General features: G+C 47.6%; 2 protein-coding genes and 2 pseudogenes across 2 annotated transcripts, besides 1 other annotated feature; 2 read left to right on the top strand and 2 right to left on the bottom strand.

Annotated features, from left to right (window-relative positions):
• Positions 1,873–2,374: an enhancer, noted in NCBI's record as "OCT4 hESC enhancer chr8:86767652-86768153 (GRCh37/hg19 assembly coordinates)". NCBI's record gives its function as "activates a minimal SCP1, AML or CMV promoter by ChIP-STARR-seq in naive H9 embryonic stem cells {active_cell/tissue: H9 hESC(naive)}" and the evidence as "EXISTENCE:reporter gene assay evidence [ECO:0000049][PMID:30033119]".
• REXO1L10P (REXO1 like 10, pseudogene) lies at positions 11,281–11,475 on the top strand (annotated as a pseudogene).
• Positions 11,281–13,308, top strand: LOC101929627 (putative exonuclease GOR). Its single transcript, XM_005251122.3, has one exon. It carries the CDS (start codon positions 11,281–11,283, stop codon positions 13,306–13,308), a length of 2,028 nt encoding a protein of 675 aa, XP_005251179.1.
• A 7,091-nt stretch (positions 13,309–20,399) lies between these two features.
• On the bottom strand, positions 20,400–22,483 carry LOC101929601 (putative exonuclease GOR). The gene has a single exon (XM_005251121.2). The coding sequence runs from the start codon at positions 22,481–22,483 to the stop codon at positions 20,456–20,458; it is 2,028 nt and encodes a 675-aa protein (XP_005251178.1). The 3' UTR covers positions 20,400–20,455.
• Positions 22,289–22,483, bottom strand: REXO1L11P (REXO1 like 11, pseudogene; annotated as a pseudogene).

Here is a 26,202-nt window from a genome sequence, read left to right as displayed (position 1 = left end):
GGATTTCCACTCTGTCAGACAAATTTCGGAAAGCACTGAAGTAGGGCATTTCTGATTGATTTTACCGTTCCCGGAATTTTATTTTCCTTTATCACTTAGACCCCTTCTGTGGGGATTTAATAAATAAACGTCTTTTGTAGTGTATGTTATTTCATTTTACTTTTATAATTTATATGAATTTTAATTTTAACTTGACAAATAAAAATTATATATATTTATGGCATACAACATGATGTTTCATACGTGTATACATTGTGGAATGACAAAATCAAGCTAATTAACACACTCGTTTCCTCACATACTGATTTTAATGTGATGAGGACATGTCTAAAATCTACTCTTATAGCAATTTTCAAGTATACAATACATACTTATACACTGTAGATGCCAGGCTGTTCAATAGATCTCTAGAACCATTCCTCTCTGAAATTTTGTATCATGAGACTATCATCTCTCCAGTCCCTCCCTGACCCCTGCCTCGGGTAACCACCGTTCTGCTCTCTGCAGCTATGAGTTGCATTGTTTGAGATTGCACATATAAGTGAGATCATGCAGTATTTGTCTTTTTGTGCTTGCTTTTTAAATCTTTATTATGTAATTATTTATTTTTTGAGACAGGGTCTCAGTCTGTCACCCAGGCTGGAGTACAGTGACACAAACACGGCTCACTCACCCACCACGGCCTCCACCTCCCGGGGTCGAGAGTTCCTCCCGCTTCAGCCTCCTGAATAGCTAGGACTACAGGCGTCCAACGCCACACTTGGCTAATTTTTGTGTTTCTTTTAGAGATGGGGTTTCACCATGTTGCCCAGGTTCATCTCCAACTCCTGGGCTCAACGCTTCCACCTGCCTTGGCCTCCCAAAGTACTGGGATTACAGGCATGAGCCACCGTGCCTGGCCTTTGCTTTCTTTCACTCAGTGTACCATCCTCTAGGCTCATTCGTGTTGCCAATGAGATGATTTCTTTCTTTTTTAAGGCTGAATTGTGTTCTATTGGGTATATGTACCGCTTTTCTTTTTATGTTTAATTTTTTTTGGTTTTTTGAGACAGAGTTTCGCTCGCGTCGCCCAGGCTGGAGTGCAGTGGCGTGATTTCGAGTCACTACAACCTCTGCCTCCCAGGTTGAAGTGATTCTCCTGCCTCACCTGAGATTAGAGGCATGTACCGGCATGTCCGGCTAATTTTGTGTTTCTAGTAGAGATGGGGTTTCACCATGTTGGCCAGGCTGGTCTTGAACTCCAACAATTCTAATTCAACTAATTTATTTTATAGAAATATTTATGTGTGAGAAACAATATTTTCAAGAGTCAAAGATTTAAAACTGCTTAATTGTACATCACTAAGTGGCTGGCTAATAAATTATAGTACGTTCATCCTTACGGAAGAATACTTTGCAGCTAAAACAGAACGAAAGAGAGGAAACTCTTCAAAATGTTAACTGGGAATGACGTTCAAGACTTATTGTTAAATAAAACAAATTGAGAAGAAGAGTCGTTTATTGGTACTAAATTTGTGTCAGTAAAAATGGATTCTATACGTGGGATGGTTTATAAGTATGTGGAAAAATTCTTTGATGGTTTTTCCTTGAAAAAGTGAAACCTAAATCCACTCCGTTTGGATGTGGGCCCATTTACGGTTGTTGCTTCCTAAACATAAACTACGTTTAGGCTGATATTTCAGACAATGAAACCTTTGAGTGCCTGTAGCGGGAAGATCTCGGTTGCTGAGTGCAGGGAAGGAGGATGTAATTCCATCATATATACTCTCTGTGCCTACCGCATTTGGAACCATGCGAGTGATACCTATTTATAAAATAACATAAACCAAGCAAAAGTACGAACTTAGCAACACTATATTGAGTTAATAGAACGGTATCTTGTATTTCTTCTGTCCAGGTATACTTATAAATGCCTGCAGGGATTTCACCACCTCAGGGTGGAGAGACTGAATGCTTGTGAGGGAATTAGGATGGTGGAATATTGGTGTTACCAGGGAAGGGGGCGGGATGTTTGAAAATGCTATGTTTACTCGTTCTTGGGTTCCAATAAAGGAGAAACAGGGCACAGGAGTCGGAAGGACTAGTGGCAATAGTGATGAAAGGACCTCCTTATCATGCTGGCAATGTTAATTACCCAGGTGTAGGAAGCCATACACTGAGGCGGAAGATCGCAAGTCAGAGTGGCCGGCAGGCACAACCTCCTGGCACACCAGAGGCAGGTCTTCAATACCCACTGGTTTCCCCAACAGGCTGCGTAAGGGACCCTGAGCCACAGTGAGTTGGTCAAATGCTCCTGACAGTGTGGAGAAACCAACAGGCAAAACGTGGGTGCAAAAGTGAGGAGACCCCGCACTTTACACTCGTGGTGACAATGAAGCTATTAAGTAACAGCTTCTCAACCTATGCTGTTTCCTGTTGGATGCACATAATCCATTTGCACTGCAGACAATTTTAGGATGTGGTTTACAGTAAGGTGGATGGTACCTTATGGCAAAAATCTCTCAGAAATTTATGTGTGGTTTTAAAGTCATTCCAGTCCTAGCACGTTGTGCTTTTCAGAGACGCCATAGCTGTTTTTCCCTTTGTAATATCAAAGCAGTAATATGTTCTCTGGAGGCCTGTTGGGTGAATTTAATGGAATCAAGTTAAGTAGGTGCCAGAACCATTGCTGTTTTCCCTCCATAGCCCTGCCACCCACTGTAAAAAGGTTGATGAGATTACTTAATGATTTCCAATTAAGTTGTATTTCCAAATATCATGATTTCCATTTTAATGTAGTTGGTATGGAGCTCTGTGAGTGTGTGCTTCTTTTATTATGGATCACGTTCAGCTTCTTTTTATTTGCCTCCTAGTCATAATAGTAAAACTCTACTCCTCTACTCCGAGGAGTCCCTACCACCCATCTCATCACTTTCCAGCCCAGCACTCTTCATGCTCATTCATTTAAAGCATTCAACATTGTGTAAATGAATCTTGGAAGGCAAAAGCTACTGAATTTAGCGAATTTGTGGAGGCATTGCCACAAATCAGCCAGGTGAAGTTTCACACAATCGAAGACTGCACAACTCCTAGAAGGCAGCACTATGCTGCAAACCCAGACGGCCACTCTTCTCACCCCTCGTCCGTTTGCTGTTCTGGATAATGAGGTTCAAAAGTCACCTAGGCAACTGCCAAAATAGCTGAAATGGAGAAAGGGCTTCAGGCTGGTGACTAGCAGAGGTCCACCTGACCCCCGTAAGCTGCTGAACAAGTAGGGCTGCCAGAAATGTCCCACTAGGGAATTTGGTAGAGACGAAGACATGCTCACCGGACAAGGGTTCCTCCCAGGATACGCCCGAGCGGAAGAAGCGGGCTCTGAGCCACGCCCTTTCACCCTCCTCTACCCCGCCCTGGGCTGGTGAAGGTGCGCGCCAGGATGTGGACTACTGAGCCCTGAAGAAATAAGTCCTTCCACTTTGACCCCATGGAGGATTGCCTGTGAGGAACTTAAACGAGTCTACCAGTGTCTAGACACGGGGGCAGGTCTGTCCGGCACAGCAGCTCCCTCAAGGAGGAGAAGAGTGAGGAGAAAGGAAACTCAAGTCTCACCATTCTGTCCTGGGAGAGAAGAGGAGGATCTCATCTCTCATCTGTCCAAACAAGGCAAGGAGACTTTCTCTCATCTTTCCAAGCAAGGCAAGGAGACTTTTTATCATTAGGAAACAAAAAGAATTTAGAAGGAATGAAAGCAGCCCGTAAGGTGAATTCCTAAGGACTGCCCATTGAAACTGACAAAATTGCCCTTGTTTGATGAGAGGAATGAGCAGAGCATTGATGTGGTGAACAAGGATCTAGTGAGACTTTCCCAGCATGTTTCTACCAAAGCTTTATCTAAGCTTCTCAGAACACTCTCCTAATAAGCAGATGTTTGGCCTTTCAGAAAGTCAACAAGCAAAATGCCTTGAGTGTCCCAAAACACTGATGCCATGATGTGGGCTCCTGACTGGCCTCCTTTTCCTTTGACTGGACCACTGCCACCTCTTGGTAGCCATCGCTTTCATGATGCTTTGCCTTGGCGATCATATTGGTGAAGCCATGTTCCAACTTCCGCTTACAATTTGTCAGAGGGATGCGTCAGGATCGTGATCCCTCCTGTTTAAAATTTCCACTGATAGCTCTCGTCGTAACTGCAGCTGATCTGGGCACAGTGGTTTTCACAGCCACTGCAGGTTGAAGTGATTCTCCTGCCTCACCTGAGATTAGAGGCATGTACCGGCATGTCCGGCTAATTTTGTGTTTCTAGTAGAGATGGGGTTTCACCATGTTGGCCAGGCTGGTCTTGAACTCCAACAATTCTAATTCAACTAATTTATTTTATAGAAATATTTATGTGTGAGAAACAATATTTTCAAGAGTCAAAGATTTAAAACTGCTTAATTGTACATCACTAAGTGGCTGGCTAATAAATTATAGTACGTTCATCCTTACGGAAGAATACTTTGCAGCTAAAACAGAACGAAAGATAGGAAACTCTTCAAAATGTTAACTGGGAATGACGTTCAAGACTTATTGTTAAATAAAACAAATTGAGAAGAAGAGTCGTTTATTGGTACTAAATTTGTGTCAGTAAAAATGGATTCTATACGTGGGATGGTTTATAAGTATGTGGAAAAATTCTTTGATGGTTTTTCCTTGAAAAAGTGAAACCTAAATCCACTCCGTTTGGATGTGGGACTATTTACGGTTGTTGCTTCCTAAACATAAACTACGTTTAGGCTGATATTTCAGACAATGAAACCTTTGAGTGCCCGTAGCGGGATGATCTCGGTTGGTGAGTGCAGGGAAGGAGGATGTAATTCCATCATATATACTCTCTGTGCCTACCGCATTTGGAACCATGCGAGTGATACGTATTTATAAAATAAAATAAACCAAGCACAAGTACGAACTTAGCAACACTATATTGAGTTAATAGAACGGTATCTTGTATTTCTTCTGTCCAGGTATACTTATAAATGCCTGCAGGGATTTCACCACCTCAGGGTGGAGAGACTGAATGCTTGTGAGGGAATTAGGATGGTGGAATATTGGTGTTACCAGGGAAGGGGGCGGGATGTTTGAAAATGCTATGTTTACTCGTTCTTGGGTTCCAATAAAGGAGAAACAGGGCACAGGAGTCGGAAGGACTAGTGGCAATAGTGATGAAAGGACCTCCTTATCATGCTGGCAATGTTAATTACCCAGGTGTAGGAAGCCATACACTGAGGCGGAAGATCACAAGTCAGAGTGGCCGGCAGGCACAACCTCCTGGCACACCAGAGGCAGGTCTTCAATACCCACTGGTTTCCCCAACAGGCTGCGTAAGGGATCCTGAGCCACAGTGAGTTGGTCAAATGCTCCTGACAGTGTGGAGAAACCAACAGGCAAAACGTGGGTGCAAAAGTGATGAGACCCCACACTTTACACTCGTGGTGACAATGAAGCTATTAAGTAACAGCTTCTCAACCTATGCTGTTTCCTGTTGGATGCACATAATCCATTTGCACTGCAGACAATTTTAGGATGTGGTTTACAGTAAGGTGGATGGTACCTTACGGCAAAAATCTCTCAGAAATTTATGTGTGGTTTTAAAGTCATTCCAGTCCTAGCACGTTGTGCTTTTCAGAGACGCCATAGCTGTTTTTCCCTTTGTAATATCAAAGCAGTAATATGTTCTCTGGAGGCCTGTTGGGTGAATTTAATGGAATCAAGTTAAGTAGGTGCCAGAACCATTGCTGTTTTCCCTCCATAGCCCTGCCACCCACTGTAAAAAGGTTGATGAGATTACTTAATGATTTCCAATTAAGTTGTATTTCCAAATATCATGATTTCCATTTTAATGTAGTTGGTATGGAGCTCTGTGAGTGTGTGCTTCTTTTATTATGGATCACGTTCAGCTTCTTTTTATTTGCCTCCTAGTCATAATAGTAAAACTCTACTCCTCTACTCCGAGGAGTCCCTACCACCCATCTCATCACTTTCCAGCCCAGCACTCTTCATGCTCATTCATTTAAAGCATTCAACATTGTGTAAATGAATCTTGGAAGGCAAAAGCTACTGAATTTAGCGAATTTGTGGAGGCATTGCCACAAATCAGCCAGGTGAAGTTTCACACAATCGAAGACTGCACAACTCCTAGAAGGCAGCACTATGCTGCAAACCCAGACGGCCACTCTTCTCACCCCTCGTCCGTTTGCTGTTCTGGATAATGAGGTTCAAAAGTCACCTAGGCAACTGCCAAAATAGCTGAAATGGAGAAAGGGCTTCAGGCTGGTGACTAGCAGAGGTCCACCTGACCCCCGTAAGCTGCTGAACAAGTAGGGCTGCCAGAAATGTCCCACTAGGGAATTTGGTAGAGACGAAGACATGCTCACCGGACAAGGGTTCCTCCCAGGATACGCCCGAGCGGAAGAAGCGGGCTCTGAGCCACGCCCTTTCACCCTCCTCTACCCCGCCCTGGGCTGGTGAAGGTGCGCGCCAGGATGTGGACTACTGAGCCCTGAAGAAATAAGTCCTTCCACTTTGACCCCATGGAGGATTGCCTGTGAGGAACTTAAACGAGTCTACCAGTGTCTAGACACGGGGGCAGGTCTGTCCGGCACAGCAGCTCCCTCAAGGAGGAGAAGAGTGAGGAGAAAGGAAACTCAAGTCTCACCATTCTGTCCTGGGAGAGAAGAGGAGGATCTCATCTCTCATCTGTCCAAACAAGGCAAGGAGACTTTCTCTCATCTTTCCAAGCAAGGCAAGGAGACTTTTTATCATTAGGAAACAAAAAGAATTTAGAAGGAATGAAAGCAGCCCGTAAGGTGAATTCCTAAGGACTGCCCATTGAAACTGACAAAATTGCCCTTGTTTGATGAGAGGAATGAGCAGAGCATTGATGTGGTGAACAAGGATCTAGTGAGACTTTCCCAGCATGTTTCTACCAAAGCTTTATCTAAGCTTCTCAGAACACTCTCCTAATAAGCAGATGTTTGGCCTTTCAGAAAGTCAACAAGCAAAATGCCTTGAGTGTCCCAAAACACTGATGCCATGATGTGGGCTCCTGACTGGCCTCCTTTTCCTTTGACTGGACCACTGCCACCTCTTGGTAGCCATCGCTTTCATGATGCTTTGCCTTGGCGATCATATTGGTGAAGCCATGTTCCAACTTCCGCTTACAATTTGTCAGAGGGATGCGTCAGGATCGTGATCCCTCCTGTTTAAAATTTCCACTGATAGCTCTCGTCGTAACTGCAGCTGATCTGGGCACAGTGGTTTTCACAGCCACTGCAGGTTGAAGTGATTCTCCTGCCTCACCTGAGATTAGAGGCATGTACCGGCATGTCCGGCTAATTTTGTGTTTCTAGTAGAGATGGGGTTTCACCATGTTGGCCAGGCTGGTCTTGAACTCCAACAATTCTAATTCAACTAATTTATTTTATAGAAATATTTATGTGTGAGAAACAATATTTTCAAGAGTCAAAGATTTAAAACTGCTTAATTGTACATCACTAAGTGGCTGGCTAATAAATTATAGTACGTTCATCCTTACGGAAGAATACTTTGCAGCTAAAACAGAACGAAAGATAGGAAACTCTTCAAAATGTTAACTGGGAATGACGTTCAAGACTTATTGTTAAATAAAACAAATTGAGAAGAAGAGTCGTTTATTGGTACTAAATTTGTGTCAGTAAAAATGGATTCTATACGTGGGATGGTTTATAAGTATGTGGAAAAATTCTTTGATGGTTTTTCCTTGAAAAAGTGAAACCTAAATCCACTCCGTTTGGATGTGGGACTATTTACGGTTGTTGCTTCCTAAACATAAACTACGTTTAGGCTGATATTTCAGACAATGAAACCTTTGAGTGCCCGTAGCGGGATGATCTCGGTTGGTGAGTGCAGGGAAGGAGGATGTAATTCCATCATATATACTCTCTGTGCCTACCGCATTTGGAACCATGCGAGTGATACGTATTTATAAAATAAAATAAACCAAGCACAAGTACGAACTTAGCAACACTATATTGAGTTAATAGAACGGTATCTTGTATTTCTTCTGTCCAGGTATACTTATAAATGCCTGCAGGGATTTCACCACCTCAGGGTGGAGAGACTGAATGCTTGTGAGGGAATTAGGATGGTGGAATATTGGTGTTACCAGGGAAGGGGGCGGGATGTTTGAAAATGCTATGTTTACTCGTTCTTGGGTTCCAATAAAGGAGAAACAGGGCACAGGAGTCGGAAGGACTAGTGGCAATAGTGATGAAAGGACCTCCTTATCATGCTGGCAATGTTAATTACCCAGGTGTAGGAAGCCATACACTGAGGCGGAAGATCACAAGTCAGAGTGGCCGGCAGGCACAACCTCCTGGCACACCAGAGGCAGGTCTTCAATACCCACTGGTTTCCCCAACAGGCTGCGTAAGGGATCCTGAGCCACAGTGAGTTGGTCAAATGCTCCTGACAGTGTGGAGAAACCAACAGGCAAAACGTGGGTGCAAAAGTGATGAGACCCCACACTTTACACTCGTGGTGACAATGAAGCTATTAAGTAACAGCTTCTCAACCTATGCTGTTTCCTGTTGGATGCACATAATCCATTTGCACTGCAGACAATTTTAGGATGTGGTTTACAGTAAGGTGGATGGTACCTTTACGGCAAAAATCTCTCAGAAATTTATGTGTGGTTTTTAAAGTCATTTCCAGTCCTAGCACGTTGTGCTTTTCAGAGACGCCATAGCTGTTTTTCCCTTTGTAATATCAAAGCAGTAATATGTTCTCTGGAGGCCTGTTGGGTGAATTTAATGGAATCAAGTTAAGTAGGTGCCAGAACCATTGCTGTTTTCCCTCCATAGCCCTGCCACCCACTGTAAAAAGGTTGATGAGATTACTTAATGATTTCCAATTAAGTTGTATTTCCAAATATCATGATTTCCATTTTAATGTAGTTGGTATGGAGCTCTGTGAGTGTGTGCTTCTTTTATTATGGATCACGTTCAGCTTCTTTTTATTTGCCTCCTAGTCATAATAGTAAAACTCTACTCCTCTACTCCGAGGAGTCCCTACCACCCATCTCATCACTTTCCAGCCCAGCACTCTTCATGCTCATTCATTTAAAGCATTCAACATTGTGTAAATGAATCTTGGAAGGCAAAAGCTACTGAATTTAGCGAATTTGTGGAGGCATTGCCACAAATCAGCCAGGTGAAGTTTCACACAATCGAAGACTGCACAACTCCTAGAAGGCAGCACTATGCTGCAAACCCAGACGGCCACTCTTCTCACCCCTCGTCCGTTTGCTGTTCTGGATAATGAGGTTCAAAAGTCACCTAGGCAACTGCCAAAATAGCTGAAATGGAGAAAGGGCTTCAGGCTGGTGACTAGCAGAGGTCCACCTGACCCCCGTAAGCTGCTGAACAAGTAGGGCTGCCAGAAATGTCCCACTAGGGAATTTGGTAGAGACGAAGACATGCTCACCGGACAAGGGTTCCTCCCAGGATACGCCCGAGCGGAAGAAGCGGGCTCTGAGCCACGCCCTTTCACCCTCCTCTACCCCGCCCTGGGCTGGTGAAGGTGCGCGCCAGGATGTGGACTACTGAGCCCTGAAGAAATAAGTCCTTCCACTTTGACCCCATGGAGGATTGCCTGTGAGGAACTTAAACGAGTCTACCAGTGTCTAGACACGGGGGCAGGTCTGTCCGGCACAGCAGCTCCCTCAAGGAGGAGAAGAGTGAGGAGAAAGGAAACTCAAGTCTCACCATTCTGTCCTGGGAGAGAAGAGGAGGATCTCATCTCTCATCTGTCCAAACAAGGCAAGGAGACTTTCTCTCATCTTTCCAAGCAAGGCAAGGAGACTTTTTATCATTAGGAAACAAAAAGAATTTAGAAGGAATGAAAGCAGCCCGTAAGGTGAATTCCTAAGGACTGCCCATTGAAACTGACAAAATTGCCCTTGTTTGATGAGAGGAATGAGCAGAGCATTGATGTGGTGAACAAGGATCTAGTGAGACTTTCCCAGCATGTTTCTACCAAAGCTTTATCTAAGCTTCTCAGAACACTCTCCTAATAAGCAGATGTTTGGCCTTTCAGAAAGTCAACAAGCAAAATGCCTTGAGTGTCCCAAAACACTGATGCCATGATGTGGGCTCCTGACTGGCCTCCTTTTCCTTTGACTGGACCACTGCCACCTCTTGGTAGCCATCGCTTTCATGATGCTTTGCCTTGGCGATCATATTGGTGAAGCCATGTTCCAACTGCCGCTTACAATTTGTCAGAGGGATGCGTCAGGATCGTGATCCCTCCTGTTTAAAATTTCCACTGATAGCTCTCGTCGTAACTGCAGCTGATCTGGGCACAGTGGTTTTCACAGCCACTGCAGGATTCATCTTCCACATCTTCTCACCTCTTCTTGAAACAAGCTATACATTCGTAAAGAGTTCATTTCTTTGGGGTAGTGTCCTTACAAGCTTTTCTTAAAACGTCAATGATTTCTTCAATCTTCCACCCAAGCTTCACCATAAATTTGATGTTTCCTCTTGCTGCAATTTTCGTGGAATTCATGTTGCTCTGATGGGAGTCCTTTTCAGTGGATGTCTCATCCTTCTTAGTGCCTCAAACTAGATCTAGTTCAGAAAGGTTATCAGAAGTTAGGACAAGTTTATTTTAGTGCAAACCAGTGGAAATCCATGCATAGTTTCTTCACCATGTGCATTTTCTATGAACCTTTGGAAGACCACCTGTGTTGAACATTGCCCAAGTCCTGGGAGAGAAGTGGGTGCGGTCCGCTTCCTGTCCTCAATTTGCCCGCAGCGGCGGAGTGCACAGAGCAGGGAAAGGCAGCCCCAGAGGGATCCCGCCCTCCAGCATGCAGCAGACTGCTGGCCCAGTCCTGGCTCCAAGGAGTGCTGTGTGGGCCCAAGCAAGTTGACCAACCTCCCTGAACCTTAATTTAATCCTAGGTAGCCCAATTCCAGTAGCCATTATAGGACTGCCCTGCAGGGACAGTTACTTAACTCAGGAAAAGCAACCTAGCTCCAAGTTTAGCAACCGGGAGTTCCAGTTGATTCCATTAGCGCACCCCCTGAGGCATTCCCAAGCTGGAGTCTGGTGGAAGATGAGGCTCAGTGTGATTGGACTGAAGCACCAACCTATCAAGGAGAAGTCCCACCCAGTCTGCCCTGTGCCTATATAAAGGCGACAAGTGGCGGCCGCAGCACTCATTGAAGCCGCCAGTTGGGAGAGGAGCAGAGCCAGGCCGGTGCTCCCGAAGGCAGCAAGATGTTGCGAGCCACAGCTCCCTGCTGGTTCCCCCCTGGATACCCAGAAGCTAAGAAGGTGGCCGAGGAGGCGGCCCTGGAGGCAAGCCGCCATTTGGGAGGGGAGCAGAGCCAGGCCGGTGCTCCCGAAGGCAGCAAGATGTTGCGAGCCACAGCTCCCTGCTGGTTCCGCCCTGGATACCCAGAAGCTAAGAAGGTGGCCAAGGAGGCGGCCCCGGAGGCAAGCCGCCATTTGGGAGCGGAGCAGAGCCCGGCCGGTGCTCCCGAAGGCAGCAAGATGTTGCGAGCCACAGCTCCCTGCTGGTTCCCACCTGGATACCCAGAAGCTAAGAAGGTGGCCGAGGAGGCGGCCCTCGAGGCTCCAGAATTCCCACTGCCCTCTCATCAGCCTGCCCAGAGCTTCGGGCTCTGGGTGCCCCAGATGCACAAGCAGGCCTCAGCATTTGTGGACATCCAGGCGGAGCCCCAGAACAGGGGTCCGGCGGTGCCCCCAGCGTGGCCCAAGATGGTGACGGAGTCGTGCTACTTCCCTGCGCAGAGGGGATCGGCCTGCCGCTTGCCAGCCGCCCCAAGGCTGACAGAGAGGCCCTCGGGAGTCCGCATCTCAGCCCCCAGGAAGAGGAAGACGATCGCCCACTCTTCCAGCCCTTGCTTGGTCACAGGTTACACAGATGCCAAGAGAACCCGGGTGGCCAGCAGCAGCCAACGCTCCCGTGGCTCCAAGGTCGGCAGACAGCCAGGGAAGACGCGCAACAGGTCAGGGATGGCATGCAAGACCACCGCCACCACCAGCTCTAAGCGAATCGTCCGTCGTGCATCCTTACCGAGTTTGAGTTTGAAGAAACCCATTATCCTCCGAAGCTCTGGGTGCCAAGTCCCCACCGTCCTCCGCCGAGGCTATCTCCAGCTGTTCACCGAAGAGTGTCTCAAGTTCTGCGCCTCCAAGCAGGAGGCCGAGGAGAAGGCGCTGAACGAGGAGAAGGTGGCCTACGACTGCAGCCCCAACAAGAACAGGTACCTGAACGTGGTCCTGAACACCCTCAAGAGACTGAAGGGCCTGACCCCCAGCTCCATGCCCGGCCTCAGCAGGGCCGCCCTGTACAGCCGCCTCCAGGAGTTCCTGCTCACCCAGGACCAGCTCAAGGAGAACGGCTACCCCTTCCCGCACCCCGAGCGGCCCGGAGGCGCCGTCCTCTTCACTGGCCAGGGGAAGGGGCCCGGCGACTCCTCCTGCAGGGTCTGCTGCCGTTGTGGCACCGAGTACCTGGTGTCCTCCTCGGGCCGCTGTGTACGCGACCAGTTGTGTTATTATCACTGGGGGCGGGTCCGCTCGAGCCAGGTGGCTGGAGGCCGGGTTAGCCAGTACACCTGCTGTGCAGCTGCTCCTGGCTCTGTGGGCTGCCAGGTGGCAAAGCAGCACGTGCGGGACGGCCGCAAGGAGAGCCTCGATGGCTTCGTGGAGACCTTCAAGAAAGAGTTGTCCAGAGACGCTTATCCAGGAATCTACGCCTTGGACTGTGAGATGTGCTACACCACGCATGGCCTAGAGCTGACCCGCGTCACCGTGGTGGACGCCGACATGCGAGTGGTGTACGACACCTTCGTCAAGCCCGACAACGAGATCGTGGACTACAACACCAGGTTTTCCGGAGTCACCGAGGCCGACGTCGCCAAGACGAGCATCACGTTGCCCCAAGTCCAAGCCATCCTGCTGAGCTTTTTCAGCGCCCAAACCATCCTCATCGGGCACAGCCTGGAGAGCGACCTGCTGGCCCTGAAGCTCATCCACAGCACCGTGGTGGACACGGCCGTGCTCTTCCCGCACTACCTGGGTTTCCCCTACAAGCGCTCCCTCAGGAATCTCGCGGCCGACTACCTGGCACAGATCATCCAGGACAGCCAGGACGGCCACAACTCCAGCGAGGACGCAAACGCCTGCCTGCAGCTGGTGATGTGGAAGGTCCGACAGCGCGCCCAGATCCAGCCACGCCACCGGTCCGCCTCTCCCGCCGCCCTGGCCTGTCCTTAGCCCCAGGCCTCTTCCAAAACCGCCATCAGTCCCGAGAGCTCACCCTGCCCACCTCGCCGCAAAGCGAAAGAAACTGGAGCAGCCGGCGGCAGGAGAGGGCAAAAAGCCAAGAGTAACCCCAACCCCCCACTCCCGGTCCCCCGGAATCCCTGCCGCGGCCCCTCGGGCCTGTCCACATCCCTCTGCCCCTCCCAGACCTCTGTCCTTCCACCAATCGCCTCCCGCAGCCCCGAGCCGCCACTCCCAGTCCCCCGAGTCCCTGCCGCGCGCCCTCGCGCCTGTCCACATCCCTCTGCCCATCCGAGACCTCTGTCCTTACACCACTAGCCACCCCACGTGGGACTTCCATGGCTTCTGAGTACAAGGCCAGCCCCCCGGCCCACCAGCTTTCGGAATGCCTGCTTACCTCTTTTTCTGTAGAGGCACCACAGGGAGGTGGGTGAAGCACTTCGGCTCTGGAGTTACAGATCTGGGTTCAAGGCCAAATTCCACCACTTACTAGGTTTGTAATATTGGACAGATAACGTCTTTGCGCTTCTACCTTTTGGTCTTTAAAGTGTGATCAAAAGAGACTTAGACTCCCACATAGTAATAATAATAATAATGGCAAACTTAACACCCCACTGTCAACATTAGACACACCAACGAGACAGAAAGTTAAAAAAGGATATCCGGGAATTGAGCTCAGCTCTGCACCAAGCGGACCTAGGAGACATCTACAGAACGCTCCACCCCAAATCAACAGAATATACATTCTTCTCAGCACCACATCACACTTATTTCCACATTGACCACATAGTTGGAAGTAAAGCACTCCTCAGTAAAAGTAAAATAACAGAAATTATTACAAACGGTCTCTCAGACCACATTGCAATCACACTAGACCTCAGGATTGAGAAACTCACTCAAAACCGCACAACTGCATGGAAACCGGACAAGCTGTTCCTGAATGAGTACTGGGTACATAACGAAATGAAGGCAGAAATAGAGATATTCTCTGAAAGCAATGAGAACAAAGACACAACATACCAGAATCTCTGGGACACATTTAAAGCAGTGTGTAGAGGGAAATTTATAGCACTAAATGCCCACAAGGGAAAGGAGGAAAGATCAAAAATGCATACCCTAACATCACCATTAAAAGGATGAGAGAAGCAAGAGCAAACACATTCAAAAGCTAGCAGAAGGCAAGAAATAACTAAGATCCGAGCAGAACTGAAGGAGATAGAGACCCAAAAAACCCTTCAAAAAATCAATGAATCCAGGAGCGGGTTTTTTGAAACCATCAACAAAATTGATAGACCACTAGCAAGACTATTAAAGAATGAAAGGAAGAAGAATCAAGCAGATGCAATAAAAAATGATAAAGGGGATATCACCACTGATCCCACAGAAGTACAAACTACCATGAGAGAATACTGTCAACACCTCTAGGCAAACAAACTCGAAAATCTAGAAGAAATGAATAAATTCCTGGACACATGCAACCTCCCCAGAGTAAACCAGGAAGAAGTTGAATGCCTGAATAGACCAATAACAGGCTCTGAAATTGAGGCAATAATTAATAGCCTATCAAGCAATAAAACTCCAGGACCAGACGGATTCACAGCCGAATTCTACCAGAAGTACAAGGAGGAGCTGGTACCATTCCTTCGGAAACTATTCCAATCAACAGAAAAAGAGGGAATCCTCCCTATCTCATTTTATGAGGCCAGCATCATCCTGATCCCAAAGGCTGAGAGAGACACAACCAACAAAGAGAATTTTCGGCCCATATCCCTGAGGAACACCGATGGAAAAATCCTCCATAAAATGCTGGCAAACCGAATCCAGCAGCACATCAAAGAGCTTATCCATTATGATCAAGTGGGCTTCATCCCTGACATGCAAGGCTGGTCCAACATATGCAAATCAATAAACATAATCCAGCATATAATCGGAACCAAAGACAGAAACCGCGTGATTATCTCAACAGATGCAGAAAAGGCCTTTGACAAAATTCAACAGCCTTTCATGCCAAAAACTCTCAATAAATTAGGTACTGATGGGACATACCTCAAAATAATAAGGGCTATTTAGGGCAAATCCAGTTTTTCACTAAGTCACTGTTCTGGAACAGTTTGTGTGTGTGTATGTATGTGTGTGAGGGCTCACATACACAAATTGAACTAATGGAAGTGTAAGCATTCAAATTATCAGTTTAATTTAGTTCTATACATATACACACACACACACTCACACACCGAAAACATTGATAAAATCAGCCATTCCAGCAAAACTAGCTACTTAGTGTCTATCTCTCCTTGAAGATTCAAACTAGAAATGAGGATTTAGAGAGGCATGATGGTTCGTTCTCTCTTGGAGCCCAGTTCGAAGTTGACTGACTGATTCAGTCATTGTAATTGGTTGGTCTTGGGGAAGAATCCACTTTGACTCTTGGGAAGTCAGCTAGGTCAGCGGACAGAGCAGGGGCTCTGGAGCCAGACTGCCTGCACCCGACTTCTAGCTATGATAACTTGGATAACCTACTTATCACCTGGGCTTCAGGTTCCTCATCTGTAAAATGGGGATAAGAATGCTATCTCTCTCACAACTGTTAGGAGGACTGACTGGGTTAATACGTGCAAAGTACCAAGTACATAAGAAACCAACAGCCAGTGCTCATTACAATCATTATTATTTTGGGCAAGTTAAGCCGCATGGTTTCTTTAGGTATAAAATTAGGCTTTATTTACCTACCTGTTGGGTTGTTCCAAGGATTAATCACATAGTGTTCATGAATTCCCTTTATAAACTATTATACAAAAGAAATATAGTTAACATTAATTGAACACCTACTATGTGCGATCGTTTTAAGGCTTGCCATGTGCTGCTTCATTCAGTCCGCACCATGACATTAGGATCACACTTTCGTTTTCCATTTTTTTTTAAATTATACTTTAATTACTAGGGTACATGTGCACAACGTGCAGGTTTATTACGTATGTAAGCACGTGCCATGTTGGTGTGCTGCACCCATTCACTAGTCATTTACATTAGGTATATCTCTTAATGTTATCCCTCCCCCTCCCCCCGCCCATGACAGGCCCCGGTGTGTGATGTTCCCCTTTCTGCGTCCAAGTGTTCTCCTAGTTCAATTCCCACCTATGAGTGGGATCACGCGGTGTTTGGTTTTTTTGTCCTTGCGATAGTTTGCTAAGAATGATGGTTTCCAGCTTCATCCGTGTCCCTCCGAAGGGCATGAACACATGCTTTTTTATGGCTGCATAGTATTCCACGGTGTATTTGTGCCACGTTTCCTTAATCCAGTCTATCATTGATGGACATCTGGGCTGGTTCCAAGTCTTTGCTACTGTGAACGGTGCCGCAATAAACATGCGTCTGCGTGTGTCCTTTTAGCAGCATGATTTATAGTCGTATGGGTGTATACCCAGTAATGGGACGGCTGGGTCAAATGGTATTTCTAATTCTAGATCCTTGAGGATTCGCCACACTATCTTCCACAACCGCTGAACTGGTTTACAGTCCCACCAGCAGTGTAAAAGTGTTCCTATTTCTCCACTACCTCTCCAGCACCTGTTGTTTCCTGACTTTTTTATTGATCGCTATTCTAACTGGTGTGAGACGATATCTCTTTGCGGATTTGATTTGCATTTCTCTGATGATCAGTGTTGATGGGCATTTTTTCATGTGTCTGTTGGCTGCATAAATGTCTTCTTTTTAGAAGTGTCTCTTCATATCCTTCCCGCACTTGTTGATGGGGTTGTTTGGTTTTTCTTGTAACTCTGTTTGAGTTCTTAGTAGATTCTGGATATTAGCCCTTTGTCAGATGAGTAGATTGCAAAAATTTTCTCCCTTTCTGTAGCATGCCTGTTCACTCTGATGGGAGTTTCTTTAGCTGTGCAGAAACTCTTTAGTGTAATTAGATGCCGTTTGTCAATATTGGCTTTTGTTGCCTTTGCTTTTGGCGTTTTAGACATGAGGTCCTTGCTCATACCTATGTCCTGAATGGTATTGCCTAGGTTTTCTCCTAGGGTTTGTATGGCTTAAGATGTAACATTTAAGTCTTTCATCCGTCTTGAATAAACTTTTGCATAAGGTGTAAGGAAGGGATCCAATTTCACCTTTGGACATATGGCTAGCCAGTTTTCCCAGCACCATTTATTAAATAGGGAATCCTTTCCCCATTTCTTGTTTTTGTCAGGTTTGTCAAAGATCCGACGGTTGTAGATGTGTCGTATTATTTCTGAGGGCTCTATTCTGTTCCATTGGTCTACAGTAACCAAAAAGGCAACCAACAGCATGCTGTTTGGTTACTGTAGGCTTGTAGTGTAGTTTGAAGTCGGGTAGCTTGATGCCTCCACCTTTGTTCTTTTGGCTTAGGATTATCTTGGCAGTGGGGGCCCTTTTGTGGTTCCATGTAAACTTTCAAGTAGTTTTTTCCAATTCTGTGAAGAAAGTCCTTGGTAGCTTGATGGGGATGGCATTGGATCTATAATATACCTTGGGCAGTATGGCCATTTTCACGATACTGATTCTTCCTAACCGTGAGCATGGAATATTCTTCCATTGGTTTGTGTCCTCTTTTATTTCGTGGAGCAGTGGTTTGTAGTTCTCCTTGAAGAGGTCCTTCGCACATCGCATCCCTTGTTAGTTGGATTCCTCAGTATTTTATTCTCTTTGAAGCAATTGTGAATGGGAGCTCAGTCATGATTTGGCTCTCTGTTTGCCTGTTATTGGTGTATAAGAATGCTTGTGATTTTTGCACATCGATTTTGTATCCTGAGACTTTGCTGAAGTTGCTTATCAGCTTAAGGAGATTTTGGGCTGAGACGATGGGTTTTTCTAAATATTCAATCGTGTCATCTACAAACAGGGACAATTTGACTTCCTCTTTTCCTAATTGATTACTCTTTATTTCTTTCTCCTGCCTGATTGCCCTGGCCAGAAGTTCCAACACTATGTTGAATAGGAGTGGTGAGAGAGGGCACCCCTGTCTTGTGGCAGTTTGCAAAGGGAATGCTTCCACTTTTTGCCCATTCAGTATGATATTGGCTGTGGGTTTGCCCTAAATAGCCCTTATTATTTTGAGGTATGTCCCATCAGTACCTAATTTATTGAGAGTTTTTGGCATGAAAGGCTGTTGAATTTTGTCAAAGGCCTTTTCTGCATCTGTTGAGATAATCACGCGGTTTCTGTCTTTGGTTCCGATTATATGCTGGATTATGTTTATTGATTTGCATATGTTGGACCAGCCTTGCATGTCAGGGATGAAGCCCACTTGATCATAATGGATAAGCTCTTTGATGTGCTGCTGGATTCGGTTTGCCAGCATTTTATGGAGGATTTTTCCATCGGTGTTCCTCAGGGATATGGGCCGAAAATTCTCTTTGTTGGTTGTGTCTCTCTCAGCCTTTGGGATCAGGATGATGCTGGCCTCATAAAATGAGATAGGGAGGATTCCCTCTTTTTCTGTTGATTGGAATAGTTTCCGAAGGAATGGTACCAGCTCCTCCTTGTACTTCTGGTAGAATTCGGCTGTGAATCCGTCTGGTCCTGGAGTTTTATTGCTTGATAGGCTATTAATTATTGCCTCAATTTCAGAGCCTGTTATTGGTCTATTCAGGCATTCAACTTCTTCCTGGTTTACTCTGGGGAGGTTGCATGTGTCCAGGAATTTATTCATTTCTTCTAGATTTCCGAGTTTGTTTGCCTAGAGGTGTTGACAGTATTCTCTCATGGTAGTTTGTACTTCTGTGGGATCAGTGGTGATATCCCCTTTATCATTTTTTATTGCATCTGCTTGATTCTTCTTCCTTTCATTCTTTAATAGTCTTGCTAGTGGTCTATCAATTTTGTTGATGGTTTCAAAAAACCCGCTCCTGGATTCATTGATTTTTTGAAGGGTTTTTTGGGTCTCTATCTCCTTCAATTCTGCTCGGATCTTAGTTATTTCTTGCCTTCTGCTAGCTTTTGAATGTGTTTGCTCTTGCTTCTCTCATCCTTTTAATGGTGATGTTAGGGTATGCATTTTTGATCTTTCCTCCTTTCCCTTGTGGGCATTTAGTGCTATAAATTTCCCTCTACACACTGCTTTAAATGTGTCCCAGAGATTCTGGTATGTTGTGTCTTTGTTCTCATTGCTTTCAGAGAATATCTTTATTTCTGCCTTCATTTCGTTATGTACCCAGTACTCATTCAGGAACAGCTTGTCCGGTTTCCATGCAGTTGTGCGGTTTTGAGTGAGTTTCTCAATCCTGAGGTCTAGTGTGATTGCAATGTGGTCTGAGAGACCGTTTGTAATAATTTCTGTTATTTTACTTTTACTGAGGAGTGCTTTACTTCCAACTATGTGGTCAATGTGGAAATAAGTGTGATGTGGTGCTGAGAAGAATGTATATTCTGTTGATTTGGGGTGGAGCGTTCTGTAGATGTCTCCTAGGTCCGCTTGGTGCAGAGCTGAGCTCAATTCCCGGATATCCTTTTTTAACTTTCTGTCTCGTTGGTGTGTCTAATGTTGACAGTGGGGTGTTAAGTTTGCCATTATTATTATTATTACTATGTGGGAGTCTAAGTCTCTTTTGATCACACTTTAAAGACCAAAAGGTAGAAGCGCAAAGACGTTATCTGTCCAATATTACAAACCTAGTAAGTGGTGGAATTTGGCCTTGAACCCAGATCTGTAACTCCAGAGCCGAAGTGCTTCACCCACCTCCCTGTGGTGCCTCTACAGAAAAAGAGGTAAGCAGGCATTCCGAAAGCTGGTGGGCCGGGGGGCTGGCCTTGTACTCAGAAGCCATGGAAGTCCCACGTGGGGTGGCTAGTGGTGTAAGGACAGAGGTCTCGGATGGGCAGAGGGATGTGGACAGGCGCGAGGGCGCGCGGCAGGGACTCGGGGGACTGGGAGTGGCGGCTCGGGGCTGCGGGAGGCGATTGGTGGAAGGACAGAGGTCTGGGAGGGGCAGAGGGATGTGGACAGGCCCGAGGGGCCGCGGCAGGGATTCCGGGGGACCGGGAGTGGGGGGTTGGGGTTACTCTTGGCTTTTTGCCCTCTCCTGCCGCCGGCTGCTCCAGTTTCTTTCGCTTTGCGGCGAGGTGGGCAGGGTGAGCTCTCGGGACTGATGGCGGTTTTGGAAGAGGCCTGGGGCTAAGGACAGGCCAGGGCGGCGGGAGAGGCGGACCGGTGGCGTGGCTGGATCTGGGCGCGCTGTCGGACCTTCCACATCACCAGCTGCAGGCAGGCGTTTGCGTCCTCGCTGGAGTTGTGGCCGTCCTGGCTGTCCTGGATGATCTGTGCCAGGTAGTCGGCCGCGAGATTCCTGAGGGAGCGCTTGTAGGGGAAACCCAGGTAGTGCGGGAAGAGCACGGCCGTGTCCACCACGGTGCTGTGGATGAGCTTCAGGGCCAGCAGGTCGCTCTCCAGGCTGTGCCCGATGAGGATGGTTTGGGCGCTGAAAAAGCTCAGCAGGATGGCTTGGACTTGGGGCAACGTGATGCTCGTCTTGGCGACGTCGGCCTCGGTGACTCCGGAAAACCTGGTGTTGTAGTCCACGATCTCGTTGTCGGGCTTGACGAAGGTGTCGTACACCACTCGCATGTCGGCGTCCACCACGGTGACGCGGGTCAGCTCTAGGCCATGCGTGGTGTAGCACATCTCACAGTCCAAGGCGTAGATTCCTGGATAAGCGTCTCTGGACAACTCTTTCTTGAAGGTCTCCACGAAGCCATCGAGGCTCTCCTTGCGGCCGTCCCGCACGTGCTGCTTTGCCACCTGGCAGCCCACAGAGCCAGGAGCAGCTGCACAGCAGGTGTACTGGCTAACCCGGCCTCCAGCCACCTGGCTCGAGCGGACCCGCCCCCAGTGATAATAACACAACTGGTCGCGTACACAGCGGCCCGAGGAGGACACCAGGTACTCGGTGCCACAACGGCAGCAGACCCTGCAGGAGGAGTCGCCGGGCCCCTTCCCCTGGCCAGTGAAGAGGACGGCGCCTCCGGGCCGCTCGGGGTGCGGGAAGGGGTAGCCGTTCTCCTTGAGCTGGTCCTGGGTGAGCAGGAACTCCTGGAGGCGGCTGTACAGGGCGGCCCTGCTGAGGCCGGGCATGGAGCTGGGGGTCAGGCCCTTCAGTCTCTTGAGGGTGTTCAGGACCACGTTCAGGTACCTGTTCTTGTTGGGGCTGCAGTCGTAGGCCACCTTCTCCTCGTTCAGCGCCTTCTCCTCGGCCTCCTGCTTGGAGGCGCAGAACTTGAGACACTCTTCGGTGAACAGCTGGAGATAGCCTCGGCGGAGGACGGTGGGGACTTGGCACCCAGAGCTTCGGAGGATAATGGGTTTCTTCAAACTCAAACTCGGTAAGGATGCACGACGGACGATTCGCTTAGAGCTGGTGGTGGCGGTGGTCTTGCATGCCATCCCTGACCTGTTGCGCGTCTTCCCTGGCTGTCTGCCGACCTTGGAGCCACGGGAGCGTTGGCTGCTGCTGGCCACCCGGGTTCTCTTGGCATCTGTGTAACCTGTGACCAAGCAAGGGCTGGAAGAGTGGGCGATCGTCTTCCTCTTCCTGGGGGCTGAGATGCGGACTCCCGAGGGCCTCTCTGTCAGCCTTGGGGCGGCTGGCAAGCGGCAGGCCGATCCCCTCTGCGCAGGGAAGTAGCACGACTCCGTCACCATCTTGGGCCACGCTGGGGGCACCGCCGGACCCCTGTTCTGGGGCTCCGCCTGGATGTCCACAAATGCTGAGGCCTGCTTGTGCATCTGGGGCACCCAGAGCCCGAAGCTCTGGGCAGGCTGATGAGAGGGCAGTGGGAATTCTGGAGCCTCGAGGGCCGCCTCCTCGGCCACCTTCTTAGCTTCTGGGTATCCAGGTGGGAACCAGCAGGGAGCTGTGGCTCGCAACATCTTGCTGCCTTCGGGAGCACCGGCCGGGCTCTGCTCCGCTCCCAAATGGCGGCTTGCCTCCGGGGCCGCCTCCTTGGCCACCTTCTTAGCTTCTGGGTATCCAGGGCGGAACCAGCAGGGAGCTGTGGCTCGCAACATCTTGCTGCCTTCGGGAGCACCGGCCTGGCTCTGCTCCCCTCCCAAATGGCGGCTTGCCTCCAGGGCCGCCTCCTCGGCCACCTTCTTAGCTTCTGGGTATCCAGGGGGGAACCAGCAGGGAGCTGTGGCTCGCAACATCTTGCTGCCTTCGGGAGCACCGGCCTGGCTCTGCTCCTCTCCCAACTGGCGGCTTCAATGAGTGCTGCGGCCGCCACTTGTCGCCTTTATATAGGCACAGGGCAGACTGGGTGGGACTTCTCCTTGATAGGTTGGTGCTTCAGTCCAATCACACTGAGCCTCATCTTCCACCAGACTCCAGCTTGGGAATGCCTCGGGGGGTGCGCTAATGGAATCAACTGGAACTCCCGGTTGCTAAACTTGGAGCTAGGTTGCTTTTCCTGAGTTAAGTAACTGTCCCTGCAGGGCAGTCCTATAATGGCTACTGGAATTGGGCTACCTAGGATTAAATTAAGGTTCAGGGAGGTTGGTCAACTTGCTTGGGCCCACACAGCACCCCTTGGAGCCAGGACTGGGCCAGCAGTCTGCTGCATGCTGGAGGGCGGGATCCCTCTGGGGCTGCCTTTCCCTGCTCTGTGCACTCCGCCGCTGCGGGCAAATTGAGGACAGGAAGCGGACCGCACCCACTTCTCTCCCAGGACTTGGGCAATGTTCAACACAGGTGGTCTTCCAAAGGTTCATAGAAAATGCACATGGTGAAGAAACTATGCATGGATTTCCACTGGTTTGCACTAAAATAAACTTGTCCTAACTTCTGATAACCTTTCTGAACTAGATCTAGTTTGAGGCACTAAGAAGGATGAGACATCCACTGAAAAGGACTCCCGTCAGAGCAACATGAATTCCACGAAAATTGCAGCAAGAGGAAACATCAAATTTATGGTGAAGCTTGGGTGGAAGATTGAAGAAATCATTGACGTTTTAAGAAAAGCTTGTAAGGACACTACCCCAAAGAAATGAACTCTTTACGAATGTATAGCTTGTTTCAAGAAGAGGTGAGAAGATGTGGAAGATGAATCCTGCAGTGGCTGTGAAAACCACTGTGCCCAGATCAGCTGCAGTTACGACGAGAGCTATCAGTGGAAATTTTAAACAGGAGGGATCACGATCCTGACGCATCCCTCTGACAAATTGTAAGCGGCAGTTGGAACATGGCTTCACCAATATGATCGCCAAGGCAAAGCATCATGAAAGCGATGGCTACCAAGAGGTGGCAGTGGTCCAGTCAAAGGAAAAGGAGGCCAGTCAGGAGCCCACATCATGGCATCAGTGTTTTGGGACACTCAAGGCATTTTGCTTGTTGACTTTCTGAAAGGCCAAACATCTGCTTATTAGGAGAGTGTTCTGAGAAGCTTAGATAAAGCTTTGGTAGAAACATGCTGGGAAAGTCTCACTAGATCCTTGTTCACCACATCAATGCTCTGCTCATTCCTCTCATCAAACAAGGGCAATTTTGTCAGTTTCAATGGGCAGTCCTTAGGAATTCACCTTACGGGCTGCTTTCATTCCTTCTAAATTCTTTTTGTTTCCTAATGATAAAAAGTCTCCTTGCCTTGCTTGGAAAGATGAGAGAAAGTCTCCTTGCCTTGTTTGGACAGATGAGAGATGAGATCCTCCTCTTCTCTCCCAGGACAGAATGGTGAGACTTGAGTTTCCTTTCTCCTCACTCTTCTCCTCCTTGAGGGAGCTGCTGTGCCGGACAGACCTGCCCCCGTGTCTAGACACTGGTAGACTCGTTTAAGTTCCTCACAGGCAATCCTCCATGGGGTCAAAGTGGAAGGACTTATTTCTTCAGGGCTCAGTAGTCCACATCCTGGCGCGCACCTTCACCAGCCCAGGGCGGGGTAGAGGAGGGTGAAAGGGCGTGGCTCAGAGCCCGCTTCTTCCGCTCGGGCGTATCCTGGGAGGAACCCTTGTCCGGTGAGCATGTCTTCGTCTCTACCAAATTCCCTAGTGGGACATTTCTGGCAGCCCTACTTCTTCAGCAGCTTACGGGGGTCAGGTGGACCTCTGCTAGTCACCAGCCTGAAGCCCTTTCTCCATTTCAGCTATTTTGGCAGTTGCCTAGGTGACTTTTGAACCTCATTATCCAGAACAGCAAACGGACGAGGGGTGAGAAGAGTGGCCGTCTGGGTTTGCAGCATAGTGCTGCCTTCTAGGAGTTGTGCAGTCTTCGATTGTGTGAAACTTCACCTGGCTGATTTGTGGCAATGCCTCCACAAATTCGCTAAATTCAGTAGCTTTTGCCTTCCAAGATTCATTTACACAATGTTGAATGCTTTAAATGAATGAGCATGAAGAGTGCTGGGCTGGAAAGTGATGAGATGGGTGGTAGGGACTCCTCGGAGTAGAGGAGTAGAGTTTTACTATTATGACTAGGAGGCAAATAAAAAGAAGCTGAACGTGATCCATAATAAAAGAAGCACACACTCACAGAGCTCCATACCAACTACATTAAAATGGAAATCATGATATTTGGAAATACAACTTAATTGGAAATCATTAAGTAATCTCATCAACCTTTTTACAGTGGGTGGCAGGGCTATGGAGGGAAAACAGCAATGGTTCTGGCACCTACTTAACTTGATTCCATTAAATTCACCCAACAGGCCTCCAGAGAACATATTACTGCTTTGATATTACAAAGGGAAAAACAGCTATGGCGTCTCTGAAAAGCACAACGTGCTAGGACTGGAATGACTTTAAAACCACACATAAATTTCTGAGAGATTTTTGCCGTAAGGTACCATCCACCTTACTGTAAACCACATCCTAAAATTGTCTGCAGTGCAAATGGATTATGTGCATCCAACAGGAAACAGCATAGGTTGAGAAGCTGTTACTTAATAGCTTCATTGTCACCACGAGTGTAAAGTGTGGGGTCTCATCACTTTTGCACCCACGTTTTGCCTGTTGGTTTCTCCACACTGTCAGGAGCATTTGACCAACTCACTGTGGCTCAGGATCCCTTACGCAGCCTGTTGGGGAAACCAGTGGGTATTGAAGACCTGCCTCTGGTGTGCCAGGAGGTTGTGCCTGCCGGCCACTCTGACTTGTGATCTTCCGCCTCAGTGTATGGCTTCCTACACCTGGGTAATTAACATTGCCAGCATGATAAGGAGGTCCTTTCATCACTATTGCCACTAGTCCTTCCGACTCCTGTGCCCTGTTTCTCCTTTATTGGAACCCAAGAACGAGTAAACATAGCATTTTCAAACATCCCGCCCCCTTCCCTGGTAACACCAATATTCCACCATCCTAATTCCCTCACAAGCATTCAGTCTCTCCACCCTGAGGTGGTGAAATCCCTGCAGGCATTTATAAGTATACCTGGACAGAAGAAATACAAGATACCGTTCTATTAACTCAATATAGTGTTGCTAAGTTCGTACTTGTGCTTGGTTTATTTTATTTTATAAATACGTATCACTCGCATGGTTCCAAATGCGGTAGGCACAGAGAGTATATATGATGGAATTACATCCTCCTTCCCTGCACTCACCAACCGAGATCATCCCGCTACGGGCACTCAAAGGTTTCATTGTCTGAAATATCAGCCTAAACGTAGTTTATGTTTAGGAAGCAACAACCGTAAATAGTCCCACATCCAAACGGAGTGGATTTAGGTTTCACTTTTTCAAGGAAAAACCATCAAAGAATTTTTCCACATACTTATAAACCATCCCACGTATAGAATCCATTTTTACTGACACAAATTTAGTACCAATAAACGACTCTTCTTCTCAATTTGTTTTATTTAACAATAAGTCTTGAACGTCATTCCCAGTTAACATTTTGAAGAGTTTCCTATCTTTCGTTCTGTTTTAGCTGCAAAGTAT

The sequence above is a fragment of the Homo sapiens genome, chromosome 8, assembly GCF_000001405.40.
Source record: "Homo sapiens chromosome 8, GRCh38.p14 Primary Assembly".
Taxonomy (NCBI): Eukaryota; Metazoa; Chordata; class Mammalia; order Primates; family Hominidae; genus Homo; species Homo sapiens.
The sequence above is the reverse complement of the archived record's forward strand: the minus strand, read 5'-3'. Positions and strand labels throughout refer to the sequence as shown.

Excerpts from the sequence above, each read along its gene's own strand:
- LOC101929627 (XM_005251122.3), top strand. The coding sequence starts at position 11,281 with ATGTTGCGAGCCACAGCTCCCTGCTGGTTCCCCCCTGGATACCCAGAA.
- LOC101929601 (XM_005251121.2), bottom strand. The coding sequence starts at position 22,483 with ATGTTGCGAGCCACAGCTCCCTGCTGGTTCCCCCCTGGATACCCAGAA.